Source organism: Homo sapiens, chromosome 22, assembly GCF_000001405.40.
Source record: "Homo sapiens chromosome 22, GRCh38.p14 Primary Assembly".
Taxonomy (NCBI): domain Eukaryota; kingdom Metazoa; phylum Chordata; class Mammalia; order Primates; family Hominidae; genus Homo; species Homo sapiens.
Window position 1 is genome coordinate 28,417,031 of NC_000022.11, and position 26,820 is coordinate 28,443,850.

The following is a 26,820-nucleotide window of genomic DNA, read 5'->3' on the forward strand; positions in this document are numbered from 1 at the left end:
CAGAGGTTTGCTTGCACAATTCCAATGAGAAGTATCTTATGCTGACATGGACCTTAGGAAAAATAATAAAATCACTGTTGAGGCACGGTGACTCACACTTGTAATCCCATCACTTTGGGAGGCTGAGGTGGGAGGATGGCTTGAGCCTAGGGGTTTGAGACCAGCCTAGGCAAGAGTAATCCCAACACTTTGAGAGGCCAAAGTGGGAGGATCACATCAGCCCAGGAGTTGTAGCCAGCCTGAGAAACATAGCAAGACCCTGTCTCTACTAAAAAAAAAAAAAAAAAAAAAAAAAAAGGACAGGTGTGATGATGCACACTTGCAGTCTCAGCTACTCGGGAGGCTGAAGCAGGAGGATTCCTTAAGCCCGGGAGTTCAAGACTACAGTGAGCTATGACCATATCACTGCACTCCAGCCTGGGCAACACAGTGAGACCCCCATCTCACAAAAAGAAAAAAACAAGGAAATCTGAAATCACTGTATTCTATGTTGGACAGACATTCTAAAAAGATAGACGACATATGGCTGACTTAGACGACTCAGGAATTTACAAGGTTTAGATTTTATCTACCTACCAAACACTGTGGTAGACATGTTCACATAGTTTTATTACCAAGGCATATGCACATGCATTTTCATTACATTAGTAAGTTACAATACCCCAAGTCAAGCAGTCAAGCTTCCTGACAGAAAAATGGCACATTTAATTACTAATCTACATATCAGGCAAAGCTTTGGAAACCCTAATAGCTCTGAGCCTAAATCTTCAAGTCCTCCCAATACATAGATGAGGGCCACTGTATGAGTCTAAACCCAGAAATCAAAAGCCAGCAATTACTGTGGCTTTGAAAATATTAGCCATCTCTTGCTCTGAACAGTACACTACTCTTTGGTTTCTCTAAAATACAGCCAACTTCTTATGGCACTCCCAATGCATTAAAAGACAGATCTTTTACCTTTTGTCTGACTGTAACTAAGAAAACCCAGTTTTAAATAAAGTACAAGTATAACCTACAATGGAGGCAATCTCTCAAGATTTAAGCAAAGAAGAATTAAGAGGGAAAACCTTGAGAAGACAGTAATTGGGCCATTGGAGTTTCTTCTCACTAATTATCCCAGAGTGGCCATTAGCTATGTAACCAAGGAGGAAAGTGTGTCAGACTTCAGCAAAGCTGTGTCTTCAGCATCTTATGGAATGTACCCTAAAGCCACTGTGTAATTAACTGCCAGGAAAATGCTGAGCAAGTAGAATAAAAAAGCTATAACAAATCAAATATACTGCACAGTTCAACCCCCAATGACGGCAGTTGAACTGCTTAGAACTTCAAAATACTCAATCAGCATGCATTCCCTTTTCAGAATCTCTAGAAATTAGATTTTTTGAAGAAGCAAAAATACATGCTACAAAAAACGCTTAAACTTACATAAATTCTCAGCAATATGACTTGCTTTATCTAACTGCCCTTAATAATGGTATAGGAACTTAGCAATCAGTGATGCTCAAAGTGTGGGTCACAAAGAACCTGCAGGGCTTTTCTAAAAGAGCTTCATATACTGACTGGAGTCAAACATAGAACAGACAAAAAAAGAGGCACACAGAGAGAAAGAGTCTCTTAAAGGAATTTATTGTGTAGTACTCTCCAATATAACCTTGAGATTTTTTTAGTATATTTTTATCTATTTAACAAATATTTATTAAATATTGAGCACCTATGTGCCTATTATTAGCTAACAACAAACATCAATACCACTTGAACACTGAAATTTCAAGGATCAAATAACTAAACATAGACTGAAACATGTCCATTTGCTTTGAATTTGGAAGTGGGAAAATCAGAAGAAGAAAGGTATTTTTGTGTAAACAATGAAAACTCATGCAGAAGGTTATCTTCCAAACCTGGCTGAACAAAATCAAAGAGCTTAAAATCAGAATCTGGAGCCCTACTCAAGATTTACTGAGACAGACTCTGTAGGAGCAGAGTCTGGAAATGTGTATTTTTTAAAGATCCCTAGGCCTAGATTATTATAATGACCAGACAGTTTAAGAATTAACATTTTGTTGAATCTACTGTCACTCTGAAGAACCTAAGAGCCAAAGAACCCCTATTACATAAGGAATCATAACTAAGAATCCTGTATAACTCTCTGAAACTGCAATTTCTCACTCTGTCAATATTTCCTCCATATCTACTTGTTAAAATTCTATCCATTTTTCATGACAAATTAAGATACTATCTTTTCCAAGAAGTCTTCTCTGATTCCTCAAGCAGGAATTGTTCCCTCCTCCATGTTCTACAGTACTTTATAATATGCTTCTCATATTCTGCCTTGTATTACACTAGGTTGCTTGCATTGATCATCTGATAAGAAGTTAACCTCTTTAATAAATAAAACCTCTCCTATGTAAATATCTGTATCCATTCCAGCCCTAATTCCTTGCCCAAAGTAGATGGTTCATTCATACTTGTTTAATTGAACTAAATTTACATACCAAAAGAGAACTTTAGTATTTTCTTACTGAGGGCATTATTAACAAACTGCTGATTTAGAACTCTTGCTGAAAGCATATGATGCTAAACAGCCTATCGACAATCTAAATAAGAAAACAAACACCTTTGAGGCATGGTATGTCTACATGCTAATTAAACTAGAGCGCTCAATTATGAGCAAACTGATCATGACAAAAGAAACTATTTCACTTTAAATAAAAATCTCAGAATCATATTCTAAGTACAAGACTATATAGTTTCTCTTTGTTTTACTTCTTCCAAGTAACATAAATAGCTAGATACCTGAGAATGCTATTTTCCCAACAGAGGCTCTAAAATGAGACTAAGACTCACTGCTTCTCAAGAAAAAGGGCTACAGATGATTGTAAATAAAAGGAAAAGATCTTGAAATCCATATTACAGGGTATTAATTCACAGATTTATCGGAAGTTAAACAATTGAGTTACCAATCTTATCATGAAAGGCTGATTTTTTTCCTATGCAGCAAGTTTGATTTTGAAAAGTTACATTTTTGATTGCTTGGCAGCTGCTACCAGTGTTTGTACAGCCCTTGTCATCACCCCAGATGACTGCTGATTGACAGAACTAATAGACTTTGTTTTAATTATAAAAGAAGACAGATGAAAGCTTTTGGCTGGATGACTAAATGTTCATCTTGAGTAATAAACACGCCTATTTCTCTACCTCTGTATAAAAAATCTACTTTAAATTCACAATTTGATAACTAGGGCTGCAGTAAAAAAAGAATTAGTATAATACAAAAGTCCAAGCATATCTCTTTGAAAAATAGTTTCATTTTTCTGACTTTAATACCAATGAAAAATTACTAAACACAAATGCCACTTGAAACTTAAGTACTTTTCTAGTAGTTTCTCTTCTCTGTGGCTACAATAATTCTCAAAAACACACTTAAAGAGAGAGACCATGTAAGCTTTAACTCTTTGACCTTTTGTTTCTTTTTTCTCAAGCAGTTGAAAGAAAGCAATCCTAATTCTGCCTTTGTAGCCATAAAACTAAAAAATGCAAAAAAAAAAAAAAAAAAGGTGTTTTTTTTGTTGTTGTTGTTGTTGTTTTGAGACAGAGTCTCGTTCTGTCGCCCAGGGTGGAGTGCAGTGGCACGCAATCTCAGCTCACTGCAACCTCCACCTCCTGGATTCAAGTGATTCTCGTGCCTCTGCCTCCCGAGTAGCAGGGATTACAGGTGTGCACTACCACGCCCAGCTAATTTTTGTATTTTTTAATAGAGATGGGGATTCACCATGTTGGCCAGGCTGGTCTCGAACTCCTGACCTCAGGTGATCCGCCTGCCTTGGCCTCCAAAAGTGCTGCGATTACAGGTGTGAGCCATTGCACCCAGCCAGAAATGCAAAATTTTAAACACTATTTTAGCTGAGACACACTTGGAAAACTGATGTCTTCCCTCTTTTTGCAATATTTTATATTAACTAGTACATATTCATCCAAAAAGTATCATAATTATGAGTGATCTAATAAAATGGTCTTTCCCTCAAAATGATAAAAGCAAAAATACCTTATTCTGCTATAGAGTTGCAACCTGTAGAGACTGATAACTAACATGGACCCAAATTGTGCTCCCATACTTTAAGTATTTCTTTCTACCTCTTTCCTTTTATCATGGTTCAGCTAACTACAGAAAAGGAATCTAATGTACAGTACCCAATTCTGTTCTATCTTTATATGCATACATCCAAAGGCACGCGTAACAGATACCTTGTATTTCAAAATTAAACAAATAAAACCACAACGCTGGAAAACTGATTTGTCTCAATCTTGGAAAAAACAAATAACAAAGTGAAATCTTTACAAAGAATTGTTCTGATTCCATTTATATGGTAATTAATTGACTTTTTGAAAAAAATTACAAATCATTGTATCATCAAAAGAAACCAGAGCCCCCAAAAAGGTATATCACATTTCTCTGATGACTAATGAGACTGGAATGTTGTCTTTCCATATATGTATTAGTAATAATTATCAATTAATGGATAATTATCTATTTAAAGATGAAGTTACCATTTATAGAAGAATTGATGAAATTTTGTGACTGTTTAAGACATTTAACAAAATGTCAATAACTGCTGCTTCGGATCAAGAAGAGTCATGGGCCGGGTGCGGTGGCTCACACCTATAATCCCAGCACTTTGGGAACCCAAGGCAGGCGGATCACGAGGTCAGGAGATCGAGACCATCCTGGCTAACACGGTGAAACTAAAAATACAAAAATTAGCTGGGCTTTGTGGCACATTCCTGCAGTCCCAGATACTTGGGAGGCTGAGGCAGGAGAATCACCTGAACCTGGTAGGCGGAGGTTGCAGTGAGCAGAGATCGCACCACTGCATTCCAGCCTGGTGACAGAGCAAGACTCCGTCTCAAAAAAAAAAAAAAAAGAAGAGTTATGATAAATACCTAGTCAGGAAAAAAAAACAAAAAGTAAGAAATATAAGCTTCGAACAGATTTGATGGGGATGTTATGGTCTTCAGTGCATTTCTCTTTTAAAAAATTCCAGTGATAATTGTTAAAATGAAAGGAGAGGAGTAAATGAATATAAGTATCTCTGCTAAATCAGCAGAGCACAAAATGTTATACTCAACACAATAAAAGCAACAGTGTTCAAAACAGTGTCCATGTTCAAAAACATGGAAAGAAGGCTGTCTTCCTCTCACTTTATACTTGAATGGTTTCCCTGCTAAATGGCTTTGACAAGGAGTAAGGGATTCTATATATAAATGGGCATATGTATGAATGGCTTTTTTGAACCTACATAACGCAATACCACAAACACTCTGATCTTGTCATCTTGTCACTTGTGATTTAAAACTTCAAGTACCTCTAAATTCTACACAGTCTTCACGTCTTGCTATTTAATAACATTAAATAATTTTTTTTTTTTTTTGAGACGGAGTCTCGCTCTGTCGCCAAGGCTGGAGTGCAGTGGCGCGATCTCGGTTCACTGCAAGCTCCACCTCCCAGGTTCACGCCATTCTCCTGCCTCAGCCTCCCGAGTAGCTGGGACTACAGGTGCCCGCCACCACGCCTGGCTAATTTTTTGTAATTTTTTTTTTTAGTAGAGATGGGGTTTCACCGTGTTAGCCAAGATGGTCTCGATCTCCCGACCTCACGATTCACCCACCTCGGCCTCCCAAAGTGCTGGGATTACAGGCGTGAGCCACCGCACCCAGCCAAATAAGTTAATTTTTATTCATACCTCTATAAGAAGTTTAAAAGCATTTTAAAAATCAGATGAATTTCTTATTTTGCATACACCAAAAGCCTAACTTTTATTTTAAAAATTAATGATATATTTTAAAATATGTATTGTTAACATTATCAATAATTCCTAACAATCAATGGATGGTATAAATTGCCATCTTCTTATTTCCAGTCACCTACTTCTTCACTTAAAATAGTGAAAGCAGAGTTTGGTTTTTTAATGAAGAAATACAGATAATACATACCATGTATCTGTCATGTAAAAGTTTTTAGATTAACAGTCAAAAACTACTGTAGATTCTTGACATTCCTAAAGATCTCTGGACAATTCTAAATCCCTGGGCACCGTGGCTCACACTCATAATCCCAGCACTTTGGGAGGCCGAGGCAGGCAGATCACGAAGTCAGGAGTTCGAGACCAGCCTAACCAACATGGTGAAACCCCGTCTCTACTAAAAATATAAAAATTAGCCAGGTGTGTTGCCACGTGCCTGTAATACCAGCTGCTCAGGAGGCTGAGGCAGGAGGATTGCTTGAACCCAGGAGGCAGAGGTTGCAGTGAGCCAAGATTGCACCACTGCACTCCAGCCTGGGCGACAGAGCGAGACTCCGTATCAGAAAAAAAGAAAAAAGAAAAAAGAAAACAACAACAACAACAAAAACAAATTTGCAAATGATACTACAGCACATAGCTTTCCCCACAAAATTCAGTAAAGTATGATAAAATTTTAAGTAATCCGTTTCAGCCCTCTATAGTTCTATAATACTACTGGACTAAAGTAATTTATAATGCCACTAAAATAAATCTGGGCATGCAAATAAACTCTAAAGTCCATTAAGTTGCATCATTACAGTAGTTACATTAACCTTACCTGCCTGTGCAAAATCAGAGCAATGCTTCCAAGTCCTGATGACAGTCACTGTATAGCACACAGGCCATTATGACAAAGAGGAGGATGATGGGTGGTGCACAGCAGGCAGAAGTTGGATTACACTAGCAGTAATCCAAATGTGGGCATAGTTATAAAATGGTTTGATATGAGGTTGCTGGGGAGCCAGCTATGTTCACTCATTAAACAACTTACAGTGTATGCTTCAGCAAAATCACAAATTTTGGGATCACTAGAGCAATTTAAATCTTGAATGCTACATCTGCAAAGGCCAAAATTTTTTAAACCACTCAACTCATATGAATTAACCTGATGAAATAACTTGGAAAAATACCTGCACATAGAAAGGTACTATAAAGACCCAGGAAATACATTTTCCTGATTTATCATTTTTGGTACTATTTACATCAAGGAATACAGGAAATTAGGCTCTTTGTTTTCTAGGTAATTCCAGTATAATTGGCAAATAGAAATTGTATATATTTAGGGTATACAACTTGATGTTTTGATATACAAATTAGGCTCTTAATAATTACTTGCCCATAACACTTTACACTCCCACAATAAACAAACAAATAAGTAAATAAATAAATGTGTTCTATTGTTTCATACCTTCATGCCTTTGTCTATGGTAATGCCCTGCCTGAAACAAAACCCTCTACTCCTCTCCATGGGGCAAATTCCCACTCCTCCCTCAAGCATGGGAAACCTTCTCTACTTCCTTCAGGTTCTTTTCTCAGTGTTCTCAAGATTTTTACTACATACTTCTATTAGAATACTTGGAACATTGTATTATAATTAAATATTAATATATGTTTCCTAACTATACTCTGACAGAGATGATGCCTTTTTAGGTCCTTTTGAGGTATTATCTCTTTATCCAAGTCATAGTATAAATATAATAACAGCTTCCTTTGAATACAGTACCAGGTAAAAGCATCTCATACCTAATTCTGTGCTAGCGTCATAGCTGTTTCCAGTAAAGTTCTTACTATTTGGCTTCGATATGAGGTCATTTCTCACCTCTGGGCTTTATTATACCAAACTATAACCACATTTAGTCAAACATTTAGATCTTTGCTAATTTCCAGTTAGCCCCTATCCATATGTTCCTGTTTCACAAACCTCCTGGATTACATCAGTCAGGAATAGCTGCTGGCAGCTGTTTGCCATTCAATTTTGCTACCACTAAAGCATGTGAATATTTCATTGTTTAGGCATTGTAGAGACTCTCAGCAAACATTTACTCTGGGTTCTTGGATTAGAAGAACATTTGTGGTAGGCAAAAGGTAAATAATAAACCACAATGCTACTCAACCAGTGACCTAAAAGCCTTTTGACATTTGACTCTATTGCTTACTAAGTCACTGTACATATAAATAAAGATCCAATCCTTTGTTTCTACTACAAATTTACATTTCTAAAACACAGTTCTTTAGTTATTTGGTTTATTTAATATAAGCTAAAGTAAGGCACAATAGTTCAGTGGCTTGCAAACTAACATAAAAAGTATCAGAATATGAATTAATCTGTTGCTGACGTACTAAATACAGCTGGATGTGTCATTTAATGTAACCTGTCAGAACTCTGTTTTCCTCCAATACAAGCCTATTATACAAATGTCAAATGATGGACCAATATCCAAGAATCTTCAGTTCTGCATGTGTCAGAAACAAAAACAAATATATTCCAAGGCACTGGCTAAATGCCTTTTACAAGTCAGGCACTATGTTGGGCATATGAGAGAAGATGAATAAGTGCCCATTACTGTGTCCTTCAGGGGTTTAAGATCAAGTGGCAGAAACCAATATAAACAAGCAAAAGGAATGCACGATTCGCTCCTTGAAGACAGGGATAGAGTCTTACTCATCAGTACCCTCTCTGATATATTGAATGGCTGATACATTGTGTGTAATGAAAACATGTTGAATCAATAAACCAATGGATTCATTGATCAAGTGATCAAACTGCAATAATTGCTCTAATGAAGGTAAAAATGGTGCAATTAAAGAAGAGATTAATTCCAACTTGGTGAATCTAGGAGAGCCTCACCGTGAAGAGGCTTGGGCAAGGCCTTGAAGAATGAGTTCAACTTGGGCAAGCTGCGATGGAATGAGGGACTTTGGGAACAGAGTAAGGGCAACTCTTCTGCCCTACAATAGGGCCCAACAATATCTCTTCAGTCTTGCTCTCCCTCGAGGTCCATTTACTTTGATAGTGGCTGTCATCATCTCACTAGCAGCTAGCTTCCCTCAACAAAATTTTGGCTGAGCACGGTGGCTCACGCCCGTAACCCCAGCACTCTGAGAGGTTGAGGCAGATGGATCACTTGAGGTCAGGAGTTCAAGACCAGCCTGGCCAACATGGTGAAATCCCATCTCTACTAAAAATACAAAAATTAGTCAGGCTTGGTGGTGTGTGCCCTGTAGTCCCAGCTACTCAGGAGGCTGAGGCAGGAGAATCACTTGAATCCAGGAGGCCGAAGTTGCAGTGAGCTGAGATCGCAACACTGCACGCCAGCCTGGGTGACAGAGTGAGACTCCACGTCAAAAAAAAAAAAAAAAAAAAGAAAGAAAGAAAATTCAAAAGGCACTTAGTAAATATTTGTTCAATGAATGGCCCAACCTAGTGGGGGTGGAAAACAACAACAAAACCTTCCTTTGGTTATCTTCAGTACAGCTGGTAACATTTTCAAAAAGACTTAAAATGCCAAGGTTAACAAAACTAAACAATATTTAAACACACACAAAGTCAGGCTTACATAGTCCATTTTCTGAATCTATCTTTATATAGTTTAGTTGGTTTGCTCAGGAGTTGGATTAGACCATTCTAAATTCCTAAAATAGTTACATTCTAACCCCAAGAGATCTATCTGTACAGCTTCCCAAGTTTCTTACTTCCTAGTTCCTAAGGAACTAGGAATAAGGGAACCACTCGGTGATCCACCATGTAAGAGCTAACTAGTCTATTTTGACAAGACTTAGATCCTGCTCTTTCCCCCTCAGTATTCCTCTTCTTACCTAAGCTACTTGGCAAGACAAGGGCTGAGAGACTCAACGACCTTCCTTGACCTCCCCTCTAATCAAGTTCAGAAATGGCCTTTTGTTTCCCCATTAGAGGTCCAAAAGAATAACAGTACCCCATTAAAAAAGTAACCAAGCAAAAATCCATACTTTCATTCAATACCTAGAGATATTCTACTACAGTTCACACTATCACAGGCAGCATCTCACTTAGAGATTCTTTTCATACCACCTCAAACTTATCTGCCCTTCAACAGTCAGGAAGGAAAAATGCTTTCCCAATTGTGAAATTCACCAAGGGAACTATGCTCTCTTATCTAACTTTATATTGTTAAAAACGTTAGTCCTTTAATAATAAAGTGAAACCTACAGATAACATTTTTCAGGAAAAACAGTAATGTTCTAAGCACTGTAAAAAATTAAATGTGAGAAAAATACTTTGCCACTTAACAATATTGTCATGTCTCTGGGGAAATATTAAATTCAGAAACCTGATAAATGGATTTTACTATGTCACATTTTAGTAACATTTTATAATTTTACAAGATATATTTTCTTTTTACCTTTCTGCTGCTATCAATATTTTTCTCTTAACATCTTTCTATTCCTATAGTCTTCTCATTTTATTTACTTCTCTTGCCTCCTTTCTTTCTTTCCAACTAATTTCAACTGTAAGAGGAAAAAAGGCCGAGCGCGGTGGCTCACGCCTGTAATCCCAGCACTTTGGGAGGCCGAGGAGGGCAGATCACCTGAGGTCAGTTCGACACCAACCTGCCTAACATGGCGAAACCCCGTCTCTACTAAACATACAAAAAATTAGCCGGGTTTGGAGGCGGGCGCCTGTAATCCCAGCTACTTCGGAAGCACTGAGGCAGGAGAATCGCTGAACCGAGGAGGCGGAGCTTGCAGTGAGCAGAGATCGCGCCACCGCACTCTAGCCTGGGCGACAAGAATGAAACTCCGTCTCAAAAAAAGAGGAAAAGAATATTTCCATATTGATTATGTGTATAAATTATTATATCTAATCCAAAAACAAAGGTATGTTAAGAAAGCAATTCCCCAAATACAAATGTTTATGTTATCAAAAAAAAAAAGAAGTCGAATTCAGGTAAATTAAAGTCAAATTCAGGTAAATTAAGTCGAATAAAGGTAAAGAAGTCTCTCTTCTCCTCCCCTCCTACCTTCCTTTTTAATTGTAGGACTTCTCAGAACCCTCACAATGTGCCAAATGACTCTCCAAGAGGGAGACAATATGTACACCTCTTCTAAACTTTTTTAACCATGGAATTTTTTCTTCCTCAGTAAATCATGTGGAATATACTTTAAGAACTGCCTTCCTCATTTTAAAAAATGAAGAAAAAACAAATTAATATAGGTATAATACTCAAAAGGTTTAAATATTAAAAGTATTGCAAAGAAAGAACATCGTACCGTAAGACAAAAAAAAAAAAAAGAGGTAGCACTCATTTTATTAACAATCTAACTGTGAAAACTAATCGGAGGTGAGTATGTAGGAAAATGCCCATCTACCTTGCAGAAGTATTTCAGAGAAAATCAAGCTATGGACAACAATATAATACCATGAAAATATACGAATTTGGAATGGCAAATCCCTTTACTTTTGAAATCACTCTAGTAAAAATGAAGGGATAAATAAGTCTGTACTATGAAAATACAAAGTGGTTATTAACCTAGACAACTTCTACACATAGTTCAATGCTTAGCTCTTATCATTTCCTCCTCCTTTCTCCTGCTTTTCAATGTTTCCATAGCACCCTATCTGTGGTACCACTGTTATTGTACTGTATTGCAATAATTCATTTTCTATTCTGACTTCTTGTCTAGACTGTAAGCTCATTGAGAATAGGGATCATATTATATCTGAATCTGCATCCCCCAAGTTCTAACATTTCATGAATTATTATTTTATTTTATTTTATTTTATTTTATTTTATTTTATTTTATTTTTTGAGACAGAGTCTTGTTCTGTTGCCCAGGCTGGAGTGCAGTGGCACAATCTCAGCTCACTGCAAGCTCCGCCTCCCGGGATCACGCCATTCTCCCGCCTCAGCCTCCCGAGTAGCTGGGACTACAGGCACCCGCCACCACGCCCGGCTAATTTTTTTTGTATCTTTAGTAGAGGCGGGGTTCCACCATGATAGCCAGGATGGTCTCGATCTCCTGACCTCGTGATCTGCCCGCCTCGGCCTCCCAAAGTGCTGGGATTACAGGCATGAGCCACCGCGCCCAGCCCATTTCATGAATTATTAAAAAGCTTATAGTTAATAAATTAAATTCAGTAAACATTTAAAAGAGTAAACTGAAGTATCCCAAATCTTGAAATAGTGGAGTCATCATTAGTGTTACTCAATTTGCCTCCTCATTATGATATAAATAGCCAGCACCTGGCACATAGTAAGCCCCCAGTAAACGCATATAGAAATAATTATTCAATCAATTAATCAAAGTTTGACTACAAATTCAGATCTTAGTAGAACAGGGCTACACACTTCCAAATCAAAGAACAGCTCTCGAGTCACTTGCAGCTTTTGTATCTCACTACCTCTGCCTGATCCTACCTAAAAGCTGCTGTACTGAAGCATGGCTTCTGATCGCTGAAAAATGATGGCCAAAGCTACCTTTCTCCCTCCAGGGCCTCAAACACAGAAAAGTGTCTTCACAATGCAGAGCACTGCACCTGGCATCAAGGGATATAGAAATTCTAGCACTAACATACTTGCCTCGATTTACTGTAGCCAAAGAAATTCCTATAAAATGTGAACAAATAGGTGCTAACTGAAAAAAAACTCAGAAATTTTAAAACCCCAGCAGCTCTGAAAATCTGAAATCATTTATTTTTGCAGACAATCATAGCCTAAGTTAATTTTCTATACTTAGCACCTTTGTCTCCCATCTAGACATATGTCCATCATTTCTTTTTCAATATTCTTTCCAATTAATTGTATTATACTGTAAACCCATTCTTCCCACTTCAATTTCTCTCTGTCTTAACCTACACATGGCTTACCTTTCCCAGATGGTATAATTGAATACTTAAAAATTAAAAAGTAGACAGAATTCTGTCTTCACAAAAATGCCCAGAGACACAGCATTCCTTTTAAGCCACAGCAATTACCAATCAGCCTAAAGGCCATCTAAATTTTAAAGTCTTCAGAGAATAGCATGACAGGAGAATGCTCCAAGTATGAGTTAAAGACTCTTTTCACCATCCAGACTATGACTTCTTTGTGGGTTTATTCTCCCACAAGAGAATGTGGGATGTATTATTCTTTTACAATTTGCTTAGGATGGATGTGTAAGTTCTCTCCAACAAGGGCTCTGGAATATGATTTTTTTTTTTTTTTTTTTTTTTTAGTGAAGACTGCATTTAGCAGAAATTCAAACAGAAGCATGAATTAAGGGGTAATTTCAGATGTAGTGAAAAGCTGTAATGTCCATTCAAAGTAATGAAGGCACACCGCATTAATCTCCTAAAAAGATTCACACGCTATGAGTAGAGCAATTCTATTTCTTAGTGGGAACAAATTAAGATGATTTCCCTTACAGAAATTGCCATAATTACAAGTAATTATCTTGTACTCTCTAAATTTACCACTATAGCACATTCTGCAAATATCATTCCCTTCAAAGACTTTATTTGGAAATACAGGAGAGATTGTTGCTCTGTGAATTGTGCTACAGATCTCAAACTGATTGTTTAACAGTACTACATAATATATGTAGTAAAGACATGGCATTCTGAAGTTGGAAGAGCTTGGAATTCCAAATACAGGAGAGTCCCTTCATCAGGTAACTAATATTACCCAAAGGAGTGCAAACAAAATGAGAATGGCAAACATTCAAAGATAAACTAGTCAAATGTGGGCTTATGCATGAAACAATGAGCAGAATCATTCTGATATGCATGGGGCAATCATGGAAAACATGTAAACAGCTGCTGTAGTATTTATAAAAATCCTTGCAGAGCCAAATAAAATCCCATCATTTGCAGCCTACTCAGTTTTTCATTTTCCTTTAATAAGAAAATGGGAGAAAAACCAGTTACTCATTGGGCATTAAGAGGAGAATAAGCATGTAAAAACCTAATTTCACCATCTTTGAGGCCAATCACCGTCTGGATTTCAGCTGGCATTTGAAGTCTATTCTCCAGCCAAACTGAGATTCCTTACCATTGTAAAAGAAAAAAAAAAAAAAAACATGCCCAGAGCTTGCCTTTCCTCTTCTTGTTGCCTAGAATGTACTCCCTCATCTCTGCCTGGTAAAAATCAGCCTACCCTTCAAGTCAAGTTAAAATACTACTCTACCGTGAAGACTCTCTTGGTCCACTCATTCCTACCCCCAATTCCAAATACTTCTTCATCTCCCATCCAATCTAGCTGTGACCTCTCCTTTAATTCACTCTCCAGAGAACTTTGTGCCTCTCTGGTGATGCTTAACATATGCCACCTCATATTTCAGGTATTTGGGGACTTGCCTTATCCCCACTACTAGATCGTAGCCTGAGAAATGCACTTTATTCATCTTTGCATCTCCTGCAGCTATAGTAAATGTTTAATAATATGATCACTTATGATAAATTTGATTTTTAAAATTATTCTAATTTAGAAGCATGTCATTGAAACAGTCTCTAAAATAGCTACACAGTCTATTAAGGAATAATATATATTTTAAACTCTAAACAAATATCTGGTTTTATTTAACAAAAACTGTACAATTTCATATTAATGTTTAAAGCTCATCCATGGTAAGATTATACCTCTGTGCCTATTAATCTTACCTAGTTTATTTGGTCAATATAAATAGTAACTCTACTTGTACATGTAATTACACACAGTCAATAATCTGTTAACTTAAGATCCCTCCTTTAACTGATATCTCTTACAGTTAGAATTTTTATGCTTACATTTTAAACAAAAAGATAAAGAAATGTACTAAGTTTCTCCATATTTTCATCTTGTTTCAATCAATGTTTAAATATCAGTAATATAGGCCAAGCACAGTGCCGCACGCCTGTAATCCCAGCACTTCGGGAGGCCAAGGCAGGCATATCACTTGAGGCCAGGAGTTCGAGACCTGCCTGGCTAACATGGTGAGACCTTGTCTCTACTAAAAATACAAAAATGAGCCGGGCGTGGTGGCATGCACCTGTAATCCCAGCTACTTGGGAGGCTGAGGCAGGAGAATCACTTGAACCCAGGAGGAGGAGGTTGTAGTGAGCCAAGATCATGCCACTGCACTCCAGCTTAGGCAACAGAGTGAGACTCTGTCTTAAAATAAAATAAAATAAAATAAAATAGGCCAGGCGCAGTGGCTCATGCCTGTAATCCCAGCACTTTGGGAGGCCGAGGTGGGCGGATCACGAAGTCAGGAGATCGAGACCATCCTGGTTAAAACAGTGAAACCCTGTCTCTGCTAAAAATACAAAAAAATTAGCCAGGCGTGGTGGCGGGTGCCTGTAGTCCCAGCTACTCGGGAGGCTGAGGCAGAAGAATGGCGTGAACCTGGGAGGTGGAGCTTGCAGTGAGCCGAGATCACGCCACTGCACTCCAGCCTGGGTGACAGAGCGAGACTCTGTCTCAAAATAAATAAATAAATAAATAAAATAAAAATAAAAATAAAAAAATATAAAATAAATAGCAGTAAAATGTATTGATTTGTTAATACTTTAAAAATTAGCTTTAGGAATTTTACATTCTCATTCATTCTTAATTCATATGAGACAATGCAAAGATATATTATAGATTCACCTTAAAAAATAAAGTCACCGAGTTCTGCTCAAATTAGCACAATTTGCCCACATTTACAGTTATTTACTGGAAATATTGGTTCTATAATAGCCCAGTTCTTCTAAATTGCTTGTTTCATGAATACTATGAATAGGACAGCATTTATATAGTTCATTAAAATTTCTTGAGAACCACGCTAGCATCAGAAATAATTAGAACAATGACAAGCATATGCAGTTATGATTTACTTATCAATGAGATCTATTTTGTATTTGTGTAAACTGACAAACTACTTACTTTTCACCTAAGTTATTCTACCTTTATTGATAGTAGTCATTAATTTTTCTTCCCTTCTCTTGGTCCTTTGCATCATCTACAGTAACCTAAAGCTAATCCTCCCTTGAAATTATAAAGTATGTGAAGTTTGTGGTCAACATCCTCTATCTTCATTCTCAACTATCTTCTTCTCCTGTCCCCTCAAAACACAGACCCCTTAATGTTGTTTCTTGACTACCCAGGGTCCCCACCAAAGTGGGCCTGTCAGAACAGTTCACACAGTCACTATGGTCTTGATGTTTCATGAATCCTCCCTACCAGCTACATCAAGTGGTTATATGGATCCTGTTTCTCAACATCTTGCTGGATGACTGGCCAGCAAAGATAACAAAGAGCACACAAATGTTACTATCAAATTTGCATTTTCCTATGATTTTTAAAGCCTCAGCACAAAGGAATTTTAGAAAAATAAGTTATAGAAAATGTATCTGAAAGCAAATAAATTTCTCGGTATCTTCAAAATATACTGTCTATAAAACTGTCTTGTCTTTTATTTATTTTTTATTCTTTTGAGATGGAGACTTTTCTTATAAACAAACCAAACCCTAGATTGCAAACTCCTAAAGAAGCAGAAGGAGAGAAGCCCAGTGGATACGGCCCTCCCCCTTAAAGTACCCAGGTCAAGAGCCAGCTTCTGAATAGCTATGTGATCCCAAGGGAACCAGTTTACCTTTCTGCTACTCTGCTTACTAGTCTGCAAAATCAAATGCTCCTTAAGGTTCTTTTTCTTTTACAAATGTTTTAGTCTAAGTATTATAAATACTATCTAGCAAAAGCCTAGGCTAAAACAAGAAGGATTCTCTAAAATAAATAATATTTGTGTCACTAAAAATAACATTTTAATTAATATAGAACTAGTTAATATTTAAATATGTATTAATTATGTATTAATCACATGGGTTCCTTGGTCATTTCTTCTTAAAAGCAATTGCATATGCTCTCCAGGATATGTAATTCTACCCTTCACATAAACCTCTAATACTAGTTCCTTCCACCATGGTTTTGTATTGTGTGTGTTTGTTTGAATAAGTTACTGGGGGAAAAAAAAGGCAAGTCAGATACACCAAAGCAAAAATCAGAAAAGGGGAAACTATAGTGGCATTTAGCCAATCATTCAAAATGTTTTCAGTCTCTGACACTGCATCCTCAAATATATCTAATTCTTGGTCATCAATACCACAATAAATATTATCTTATTTATCAAAAGGTCACTTATTTAACTACCTCAACTATTTAAAACATAGCCTAAAACCAGAAAGTATAAAGGGAGAACAAATGTCAAGCTTTTTGGGGTTTCTTAGTTTAATAAGTAGATAGTTGATGAATTTACATGACAACAGTATTACCTTCAGCAACATGGAAAGAAAAATAAAAACCATACAAAGAAGACATAAAATTATTTTAAAAGAAATAAAACATCAATCTGGGATCATTTAGTATAGAAATAAATAATTCTACATTCCTTAAAAGCTCCTAAAGGTTTACTGTGTTAGAGCAGTAGAATAATTCATGCTTGTGATAATAATACTGAGTAATCAGGAGAAAGTTAAATCATGCTTAGTACCTTCTGTTTAAGAAGGCAGAAAATATGTAATATATTTTAGAAAACTTCACCTAAAAAAATGGGCAGGTATGGGGCAGTGGTAGCTCATGCCTGTAATCCCAGCACTTTGGAAGGCTGAGACAGGCGGATCATTTGAGGTCAAGAGTTCGAGACCAGCCTAACCAACAAGGTGAAACCCCATCTCTACTCTCCATTCCACCCTCTGTTGGAAAAACAAAAACAAAAACTAATTATTAAGCAGTAAAGACTCAACGCCTACCAAAATGATCATGTATCCACCATCACTCACTGTGACATTTTCTCTTCAAAAAAACAACAGTCTTACTTATGCCTGAAAATCTCTACTTCATAAACACAGCTCCCAAAATATCTAATACTCCTGGATTTCATCCTTCCCTACTCCCCTCTACCATCTTTATAGGTTCAAGCCTATATACATTGAGTTTTTGGAAGAGTGTGTGTCCAAACAATCAGTTCCCACAAAGACCTCCCGGCTCCCAACTCTACCAGGCCCCTATTCCAAATGTCAGCTGCTCCGTAACTCGGGCTTGCCTCAACATCTGTGCTTCTACAAGTCTCAGGCCCCCAATATGATGTAAATCTAAAATATTACCTCTCACAAAGTAAATGGTGCTGGAAATATGGGTGCATTCATGAATGACCATTGGCTTACTAACCAGATATAAGATAGATAAATTTCATTCTTTAATAGTTCAAATTGAGAGATATCTACCAGCAAAAAAGCTTATATGCAGCTTTGACAACTGCCTTCAAGCTTATTTCACAAGACTTCTCTAAAAATGCTGCTTAGTATACAGAAGGTGTAAGTCAAAGAACATAATTTTATGTTTTTTCTTAAAATGCATGCAAAAAGGACAGAATACTCAAAATAACAATGACAGAACACCCTAACAGAATACTCTAAATGGCAAAATGTGCTGAAAAGGGAATACAGTTAAAGAATTCAATCATGTGAGAATGTGAGAACTCCTCTTAGCTAGAAGAACCTAAAAAGGGTGGACTAACAAGAAAGTTCAGGACAAAGGTTTCCTATAAATCCTGAAAATGTCAGTTAAATGATATAATTCTTACAGCTTTCAATAAAATGACATGGTTTTAGCACATCAATAAAAGCAAAGTCTTAAAGCTGAGACATACATTGTTATTAATGATATAATGAATTCACTGTAGAAGCTAAAGCTGACAGGGCCAGCCGGGATTTCAGGTTTTCCACAGCATGTCATCACTGTGACTGACTAGCAAAATGAAGGTGGCTGCTGGCGCCCTTTCTTGAAGTTGGGCCAATTAAACTCTGTAGCCTCTTACACTGGCAATGTTTACTGGCTAGCTCCTGAATAGTAAAGGTGCCAACTCAGATTTCTTCATCACTGACTTCCTTCACTTCTTGTCAAGTCTATCAACTATTCCCATCTTCTCAAATGTTCCTGGAAGTAGTTTTCTATAGATGACCATTCCCTACCAATTTTACAGAATCAAAAATATTTAGGACTAAAAGGAGTAAAGATTTAGTCTGGTGGTTTACAACCATGGCACTCCTGCACTGATATCACATGATCAGTTGTGAGCTGTGTCACAAATAACTGTAACTTTCCCATCTCCTCCCCCTGTTTTTAATTGAAAGGAAGTTCACATAACATAGAATTAACCATTTAAAATATTAAATTCAGTGGCGTTTAGTACATGCACAATATTACACAACCACCACCTCATAACTGTGACTTTAATTTTAATAGGTGCATAGTTAAGATTATCCCTTTAATGAGTCACCCTCGTTACTAATGAATAAGTCACCCTCACTTATATTCAATATTGCATTTCTGAGAGGTTGATAAATGGATAGAGATAAATTTGCAAGCTTAGCATTTCTAATAACTGGCCGGTCAGAAGATCTTGCCAACTGACTGAAGATCACTGTGCATCTCATCCCATAAATATATTCATCATTTATACATTCATTCATTCAGCTCCTCTTCTGTGCCTATGCCCTCAAAACTTTAAACTGATAGAGACAGACATACTGACAGCTTCAGTACAGGGCTACAACTGTGGCCTATAAAAATATAGTCAAAGGAGGGTATGGCCATCTATGCCTGGCAATAGAAGAACTGCTTACAGAAGGATTCACCAAGGAGGAGAAGGCTGAGTTAGTTCTTAAAGTATAACCAGTAACAAAAGGAAGGCAAGTTAAGAAGAACATGAGGAGAAGGCCCTCTAGAAAGGGGAAAGAAACTTAGTGAGCCATGTCCAGCTAGACTATGGAGTATTATCATACTACGAGGAAAAACATATTAAGTACTTTTTATATGCAAGGAACTCTCGTAAGCATTTTACATTATAACTACAGAGTCACACTAAGAGCTAGGTGCCATTCACATTAAATAGCTGAGATCTCTGAAGTACAGAGAAGTTAAGTAACTTGGCTACACAGCTGCTGAGAGGCTGGACTAGAATTCTCATGCCCAGGCAGTCTAGCTTCAGAGTCCATCCTCTCCATCATGCTACAACCTATACTACAGTCTTCTTTTTCATCTTCTTCTTTTGAATAAAATTAATTGTTTAAGGTGGATATTTTATGATGTAAACTACAATACGCCACAACACACTGAAAGTGAACAAATGACTTCAACAGTGAGTGGGCACCACTAAGAATCCCTTTGACCTTTCAGCAAAGGAAAGCTCAAGTGACAAATCATATCAGAAGATCAGTAAAGCTTATTTTATTTCTTATTCTTTTAATTTTTTTTTTGAGACAGAGTCTCGCTCTGTCACCTAGGCTGGAGTGCAGTGGCATGACCTCAGCTCACTGCAACCTCTGCCTCCTGGGTTCAAGCGATTCTCGTGCCTCAGCCAGCTGAGTTGCTGGGTTAACAAGCATGCACCACTATTCCTGGCTAATTTTTGTATTTTTAGTAGAGACGGGGTTTCAATATGTTGGTCAGGCTGGTCTCGAACTCTTAGCCTCAAGTGATCCACGCGCCTCAGCCTCCCAAAGTGCTGAGATTACAGACATGAGCCACTGCACCCAGCTCTTATTCTTTTAGAATATAAAAATACATAAAAACATAAGTTCTCAGATTTTCCCATATGCAGTCATTTTCCTGCAACCATCCCCTCTCACCCCAGCCCAGTTTATGCTTATCCAACTTTGGAGAACATTTACTAGACAAGGAAGAAACAGGGTAGGGCTTTAAGAAGGTGAGTAATATGAACAGATATGCATTTTTTTTGTTTGGGAGTTTGTTTTTTTGCTTTGTTTGATACAGGGTATTGCTCTGTCACTCAGGCTGGAGTGTAACGGCACTATCACAGCTCACTGCAGCCTCAACCTACTGGGTTCAATCAATTCTCCCACCTCAGCCTCCCACACAGCTGAGACTATAGGTGTGCACCAGTGCACCTGGCTAATTTTTGTTTTTTTGGTAGAGATGAGGTTTTGCCATGTTCCCTAGGCTAGACATGTGTTTTTTTAAGTAATTACTTGGAAGGATTAGAGGGGGAAAAAAGAGGCCAGAAAAAGAAAATTCATTAGGATGACATTTGCAATAAATCCAGCAAGTGATAATAATGAGGCACTAACTATAACAGTGGGGAGTCAAATGTGAAAGATTAAGTGACTCCCCCAAGGCCAAGAGTCAAGAGATCCGCCAGAACCAAAACCTGGGTCTCTTGGTTGCACTGATCTGGGAATGGAGTATAGAATGGATTTGAAGAAAGACTACTATCATGAAATTTCTAAGACTTCTCTGTATAACTACTTTTGTCCACAATACTTATTTTTAAAGTCTGATGTTATACTATTAAATAAATTGTGGCCCAAAATGAATAATATAATAATACCAACTAGCACAGCATTCTGGCAAGTAACTAAGTAATTTAGTATAGGCATATTAAAATTTAAGACTTAGCCTTATAATACAGAAACAAAGTACTCCATCATAGAGAAAGCATAGGGACTTGAAATACATTCTTTTGTAAAAGTAATAAGCTATTCTAAGACACAAATCTACAGGGCATAATCCTCACAAATGAGCTTCCAAACAAGGCTTTTAAATGGAACTCCATCAGAGAAATCATTTGAGAGCCAGATTCACATTTTATTAATGTGACAAGTATAACAAGATAAATATATCATATGACTCTCAAATGACATAATTAATGTAGCTTATGTCGACATATTCCTATTAATGGTCTTTTATTATGTGTGAACAGTAAAATAACATTAGATGAGCAATGAAAAAATCCAATCAGCAGCAGCTTTCCTGAAGGTTTTGACTGCAGTCTTATTTACACAGTGTTATCTGATACTAATCCTTGGATTTTAAAGAGCAGAAATAGCTTCAGAATTATAAACAAACATGTTCCTATGAGATGAGCATTTTAATTACTATCATTTCTGCAAATATAAGATAAAGATGTGATGCATGATGTAGTCTCTTGACTAAAGGTAAAAACGGGAAAGTATATTTTTCCAGGCCAATAAGGTTATATGAATAAAAGAATCATGACACTGGATGGGGTACCTGGTTGACAGAGCCTGGTACTATGTTTTAACCATGACTTTCACTGAGATTTTGCCGAGAGTGTGATTTCTCCCTCCCTACTATTGTCTACAAAAGATTAGAAATGAGTGACAAAATATTCTGGTTTTCTTTAACAATCCACTACAGTCTGCATCTATGAATCAACTGAAATATAAGAAAGCCTAAAAATATAGGTTTTAAAAATAGTTCTGATTTACTTTCATAACAAATAAGTATATATTGAGCAACTATATTATCCTTGGCACCAAAAAAAGAGTTGTAAAATATGGTTCCTGAACTCAAGGAGTTTTAAGTGTAATGAGGAGGCAAGATATATACACAAATAGAGATATATGCACAAGGAGACCAAAAGATTACAACCAATAAAAGACAATCCACTTACAGAGGCACAGACTCTAAATGCTCCAAGAATTCAGAGGTGGGTAAAATCACTATGGTTTTTTTTCTCAAGAGGAAAGGGGAATGGGAAGAAGAGCACCTTGGTGCTAGTATCTAGAAGTGACGGAGCAAAGCTCTGGCTAACATTCATTTATTGGGATCATCTCAGCTTTATCTTTCTTGGATAAAAATCCCTGGTCAGAAAAATTCCCAAGTATAATGGTAAATAACACACATTTTGAAGTAAATAAGGCCTGGTCCAATCCTAGCTGTGATCCTACCATGCTATGTGACTGGGTAAGTCACTTCACCCCTCTAAACCTCAGTTTGCTTATATGTAAAATACAAATTATAACACCTACCACCTCACTGGATAAGAATTAAATAAACACATATAGAGCAATTAAAGATGACTAGCATAGAACAAGTGCTTTTAAAATTATAGCTGTTTATTTGTATGATATTAAATGCCATTCTTACCATGACAAGGTTGGGTTAACTGCTCAGAATCTTGCTTTTTTATTTTAAACTTTTCTGTGGTATGATTGACATATAAAAAGCTGTACACTTTTTTTTTTTAAGACAGAGTTTTGTTCTTGTTGCCCAGGCTGCAGTGCAATGGCGTGATCTCGGCTCACCGCAACCTCCACCTCCCAGATTCAAGCGATTCTCCTGTCTCAGCCTCCTGAGTAGCTGGGATTACAGGCACCGTCACTACGACTGGCTAATTTTTTGTATGTTTAGTAGAGACGGGGTTTCACCATGCTGGCCAGGCCGGTCTCGAACTCCTGACCTCAGGTCATCCGCTCGCCTCGGCCTCCCAAAGTGCTGGGATTACAGGCGTGAGCCATCACGACCAGCCAGCTGTACACATTTAATTTATACAATTGAATGAATTTGGACATATAAGTATATACTTGTGAATCTTGCTTTTTAGGGCAATTACATGGCTCTTGGTGGGAGACCTATTGCACTCTAGAAGACTGGGACCTAAGGTCCTCATTGACACTGGGGGCAGAACATGATTAATTTTGTTCTGACAGTTTCTTTGTGAAAAGGTTGCAAACCCTAACTGAATATTGCAGACTCACACCTTTAAAAAGCTTGTTTTAGTATTTAGATTAATCCAGCAAGTAAGCAGAGAAAAGAGAGGAGAGAGCTCCCGTTCAATCATATACCCCAGCTGCATGCTCCATTAGAAACAAAGAAATCTAGAACCTATAATCACTCTCTTACAGTGAGCCTAGGATTTAGAAAAGCCAAAACTAGTAGTGACTGACAGGACACCATGATAGCAAGCTACCACAAATGCTGCTTGGGGTAGCACTCTTTGGATGATCTTCCTAGCTTTGTTAAAATCACATCAATGCAGTATCACTTTTCATCTGTAGGGTAAATGGTTTTTATGAAACCGTTTGGTAAAACACATGGCATGTGACTGTATCACTACAAATGTGTTAGCAGACTGAGCCAGAAACCATGGCAATGATCTGATCATGTGAGTATTCTGGCAAGAGTAAGAAAATAAACCTAATCTTTGTAAAGACTTACTGGTGCCCTACCAGAGTTGGATATCTAATCTCTTCCAAGGGAGCTCCTATTTCCAATGTAGAAGAAACAAGAATTGTTGTCAAGCTACCACCAAATAAGCATATGGTATTTGATGGCTCAGCTTATTTTTTAATCTTTTATGAACTCTGAAGAATTGTATCTGGATCTTTACAACATGATGATATGAGATTATGAATACAGTGAATAAATACAACCTTCTGGTATAGCAATTTAAGCATCACAGAGTGAGTAAATACTGCAGAGTGAATCCTAACACTTGAAACAGAATCTTCCAGAGTCCAGAAATCCACCTGACTGCCAAGAATAATACTTCCGTGGTTCAAGCAATACCAGTACCCAGAGGGGTTTCCACAGACATAACCACATGAGTTACTGCATATTGGGTAAAATAGAAAAAGCAGACGTTTATGAATGTAGAGTTTGCAGACATCTTAAAACTACTCATAAACATGCAATTACAAATATAGAAGAAATGGGGGACTTTAGGAATACGCAGCATCTGTTTAAATTGCTTAATTATATGGTTTCTTCTATGAGTTTTCCTCGTTCTGTCTGTATTGGGGTTGGAGGTGGGGGTGGGGAATATATAGTTCTCTCAACCAAAGTGAATGGAATCAATCTCACTGAAAGAAGCTCTGTGATGAGAACTATTATAATATATAAGAGATTCTTGACTTCAGGATGAAGTAGAAAAGACACAGGGTCAGAGGACAAAATGCCATCAATTAGATATCAAAGAAAACCTTTCAATTCGCCAGGCTATGCTAAGGCAGGGTTTGTTAGATTCTCTAGCAATAAAACAAATGCACAATATCTTCTCATGCACCTCACACATGATTTCTATTTCAGTTCTGATATAAAACACAGTATCACACATCGTGCCACAAAGAAAAGAGTCAGTTTAGCTAGTTCAAGTAAAAACCAGGCAGCGGCTAACAGAGACAGGTCAAGGCTGGAGAGGACCACAGCACATTCAGTTTGCTATGTTTTCCTTCAGAAGAATGTCAATAAAAACCACGGCCAAATGAGGTATTTGAAGTTTAAAAAAAAAAAAAAAAAAAGGCCTGTTATGCAGTGAACAACTGGGTTCGCCTAACAGTTAGGGGCAGTCAGACAAGTTGGCAAAAAGGAGCCCTAGCCAAATGTACAGCGGCCAACAACTTGAAGAAAGCTGTCTTTCTCCCTCGACGTCCTAGGGTAGGGACCAGTCCCACATTTAGAAACGTTATTTCTGGGACCAATAGCAATTTATTTTGATAGAACCGCTGGATTTTTTTTTTTCTTGAGTTCTCAACAAAGGAGCCATATTAGGAAATAATCTCGCAAAAAGCAAAGTGCCCCCTCCCCCTTTTCCCCATGATCGATTCACACACGCTGGTGCACGCTGACACGCACAGACACACGCCCGTGCACAATGGCCAGCGCAGGCAATCGCACGGGCCCACGAGGCCTCAGGAGCCCCGCAGGCTGAAGGCCCGGCTATGGCCAGCCCCAGGCGCTCAGGCAGGAGGCCTCTCGGCCCGCCGCCCCGGAACCAGCTGCTGGGCTGGTGTGCTGGGGCTGCTCGCCCCCCAGCGGGGCCCTGGGGAAACGGCTGCCAGCGGCTCAGAGCCTTTTAACCCCTTGGGGAAATAGGTGTTATAACACCACCTGCGGGGCCTGTGTCAGGGGTGCAGCCTCAAATCCACTCCCGCCCCACGCCCCGCCATGGGGCAACACCTAGTAGGTCTTGGCTGGCTCCTGCAAAGCTAATCGTGTCGCTGTCTGCACAGGACTTCTAAAGCAAACGGGTGCTTCCGAGCTGTCACCCCTGGGGCTCCAGGCATATCATGAAGGAAAAACTTAAAGGGCAGTGGATGCAGACCAGATTTGGTAACTCGTCCCTAAGGGACTGATGCAAGTCCCAAAGGAACCAGGGCTGTTTGGACCAGCTGGCCCAGCAAACTACGGAAGGGGTGGAGAGACCTGAAGGTAACCGCCCCGTGTTACCCTTCCCCGGGTTGGGCTTTGGGGCCCCATTCCCCTCTCCAGGACACTTACCTTCTTCCGGGGCTGCCATTTCATCATATTTGTAAAGCCGATACGTGGAACATCAAGATGTTGGCTGGGGGCTGGGGGCAGATGCAGGGCAGCGACGACTGCAAGTCATGCTGCCTCCCTCCCACCCCCTAATTCTTTCCCATATTCACTGCGAAGGGAAAAGCCCCAGGAGAGTCCAGTCTTTTCGCCTTCAGTTCAATGAAAAGTATCCCCAAACCACGAACACACTTCCCACCAGGCTAGGAAGTCCCAGCAGCCACCGGCGTACTCCTGCCAGAGCGGGGCATTTTCCCGGCCGGCGCCTGCAAAAGGAGCCTGTAGCAGGGGGTCTCCAAGCTGGCTGCAGAGACCCTCCCTCAGAGAAGAGACTGAGAACGCGGGCTGCTACAGAATCCCAGCCGGGCTTCTACCATCCAAACCCCTTTTGGCGAATTCTCCTCTTCTCAAAAAAGATTAGACAAGCAATCAAACCCTCACGCGCAGCCTGGAGCAATTCCCACAATTCTGGGTGTATTTCTCGTTTGTAAAATTTAGCAAAGAAAATTCCAAAGATCTGTAATCAGAGCTTCTTTACGCTGTTTTCGCTTCCTTCTTGGATAACTTGGGAAAAGGATCTGCCCTTCTCGAAATGCCTACCTTCCCTGAACACTGTAAATAGGAAAACTTGGTTTGTGTGTTTAGATTTTTTTTTTTTTAATTCCCAAGAACCTTAGTGGGGAAAGGCTGGAAGGAAATCCTGCAAGAACCCAACTCCACAGCTCAGTCTGCACTAATGACTTCCTTCCCTTCAGTGCGAGCACAGCCAGCCCAGCTTCAGCCACACAGAGCAAACGGTTTCTGGGTCTTAGTGCCACGACATCTGCTCCAACACAAAAAGTAAAGCATGCAGTTTCAGAGGCACCCAACGGCTCCTAAGGAATCAAAGCCAAAAACACCTAAGCGGTCAGGAAATCATTTCAAAAGAC

General features: G+C 38.5%; 1 protein-coding gene across 11 annotated transcripts in view, besides 2 other annotated features; it reads right to left on the bottom strand.

Annotated features, from left to right (window-relative positions):
* Positions 1–26,820, bottom strand: part of TTC28 (tetratricopeptide repeat domain 28) — a 701,827-nt gene that overhangs the window by 439,017 nt on the left and 235,990 nt on the right. For 2 of the 11 annotated variants that reach the window (NM_001393405.1, NM_001393404.1), the window contains exon 1: positions 25,856–26,629. The exons of the other annotated variants lie outside the window; for them this stretch is intronic. In NM_001393405.1, coding sequence (NP_001380334.1) covers positions 25,856–25,882 — 27 coding nt within the window. In that variant the 5' untranslated portion in view covers positions 25,883–26,629. Of the gene's footprint in view, positions 1–25,855; positions 26,630–26,820 lie in introns of those variants that run through there. 11 annotated transcript variants of the gene reach the window in all.
* Positions 25,319–25,468: a silencer, noted in NCBI's record as "silent region_13579". NCBI's record gives its function as "represses an Ori minimal core promoter by ATAC-STARR-seq in GM12878 lymphoblastoid cells {active_cell/tissue: GM12878}" and the evidence as "EXISTENCE:reporter gene assay evidence [ECO:0000049][PMID:35858748]".
* Positions 25,673–26,620: an enhancer, noted in NCBI's record as "H3K27ac-H3K4me1 hESC enhancer chr22:28838691-28839638 (GRCh37/hg19 assembly coordinates)". NCBI's record gives its function as "activates a minimal SCP1, AML or CMV promoter by ChIP-STARR-seq in primed H9 embryonic stem cells {active_cell/tissue: H9 hESC(primed)}" and the evidence as "EXISTENCE:reporter gene assay evidence [ECO:0000049][PMID:30033119]".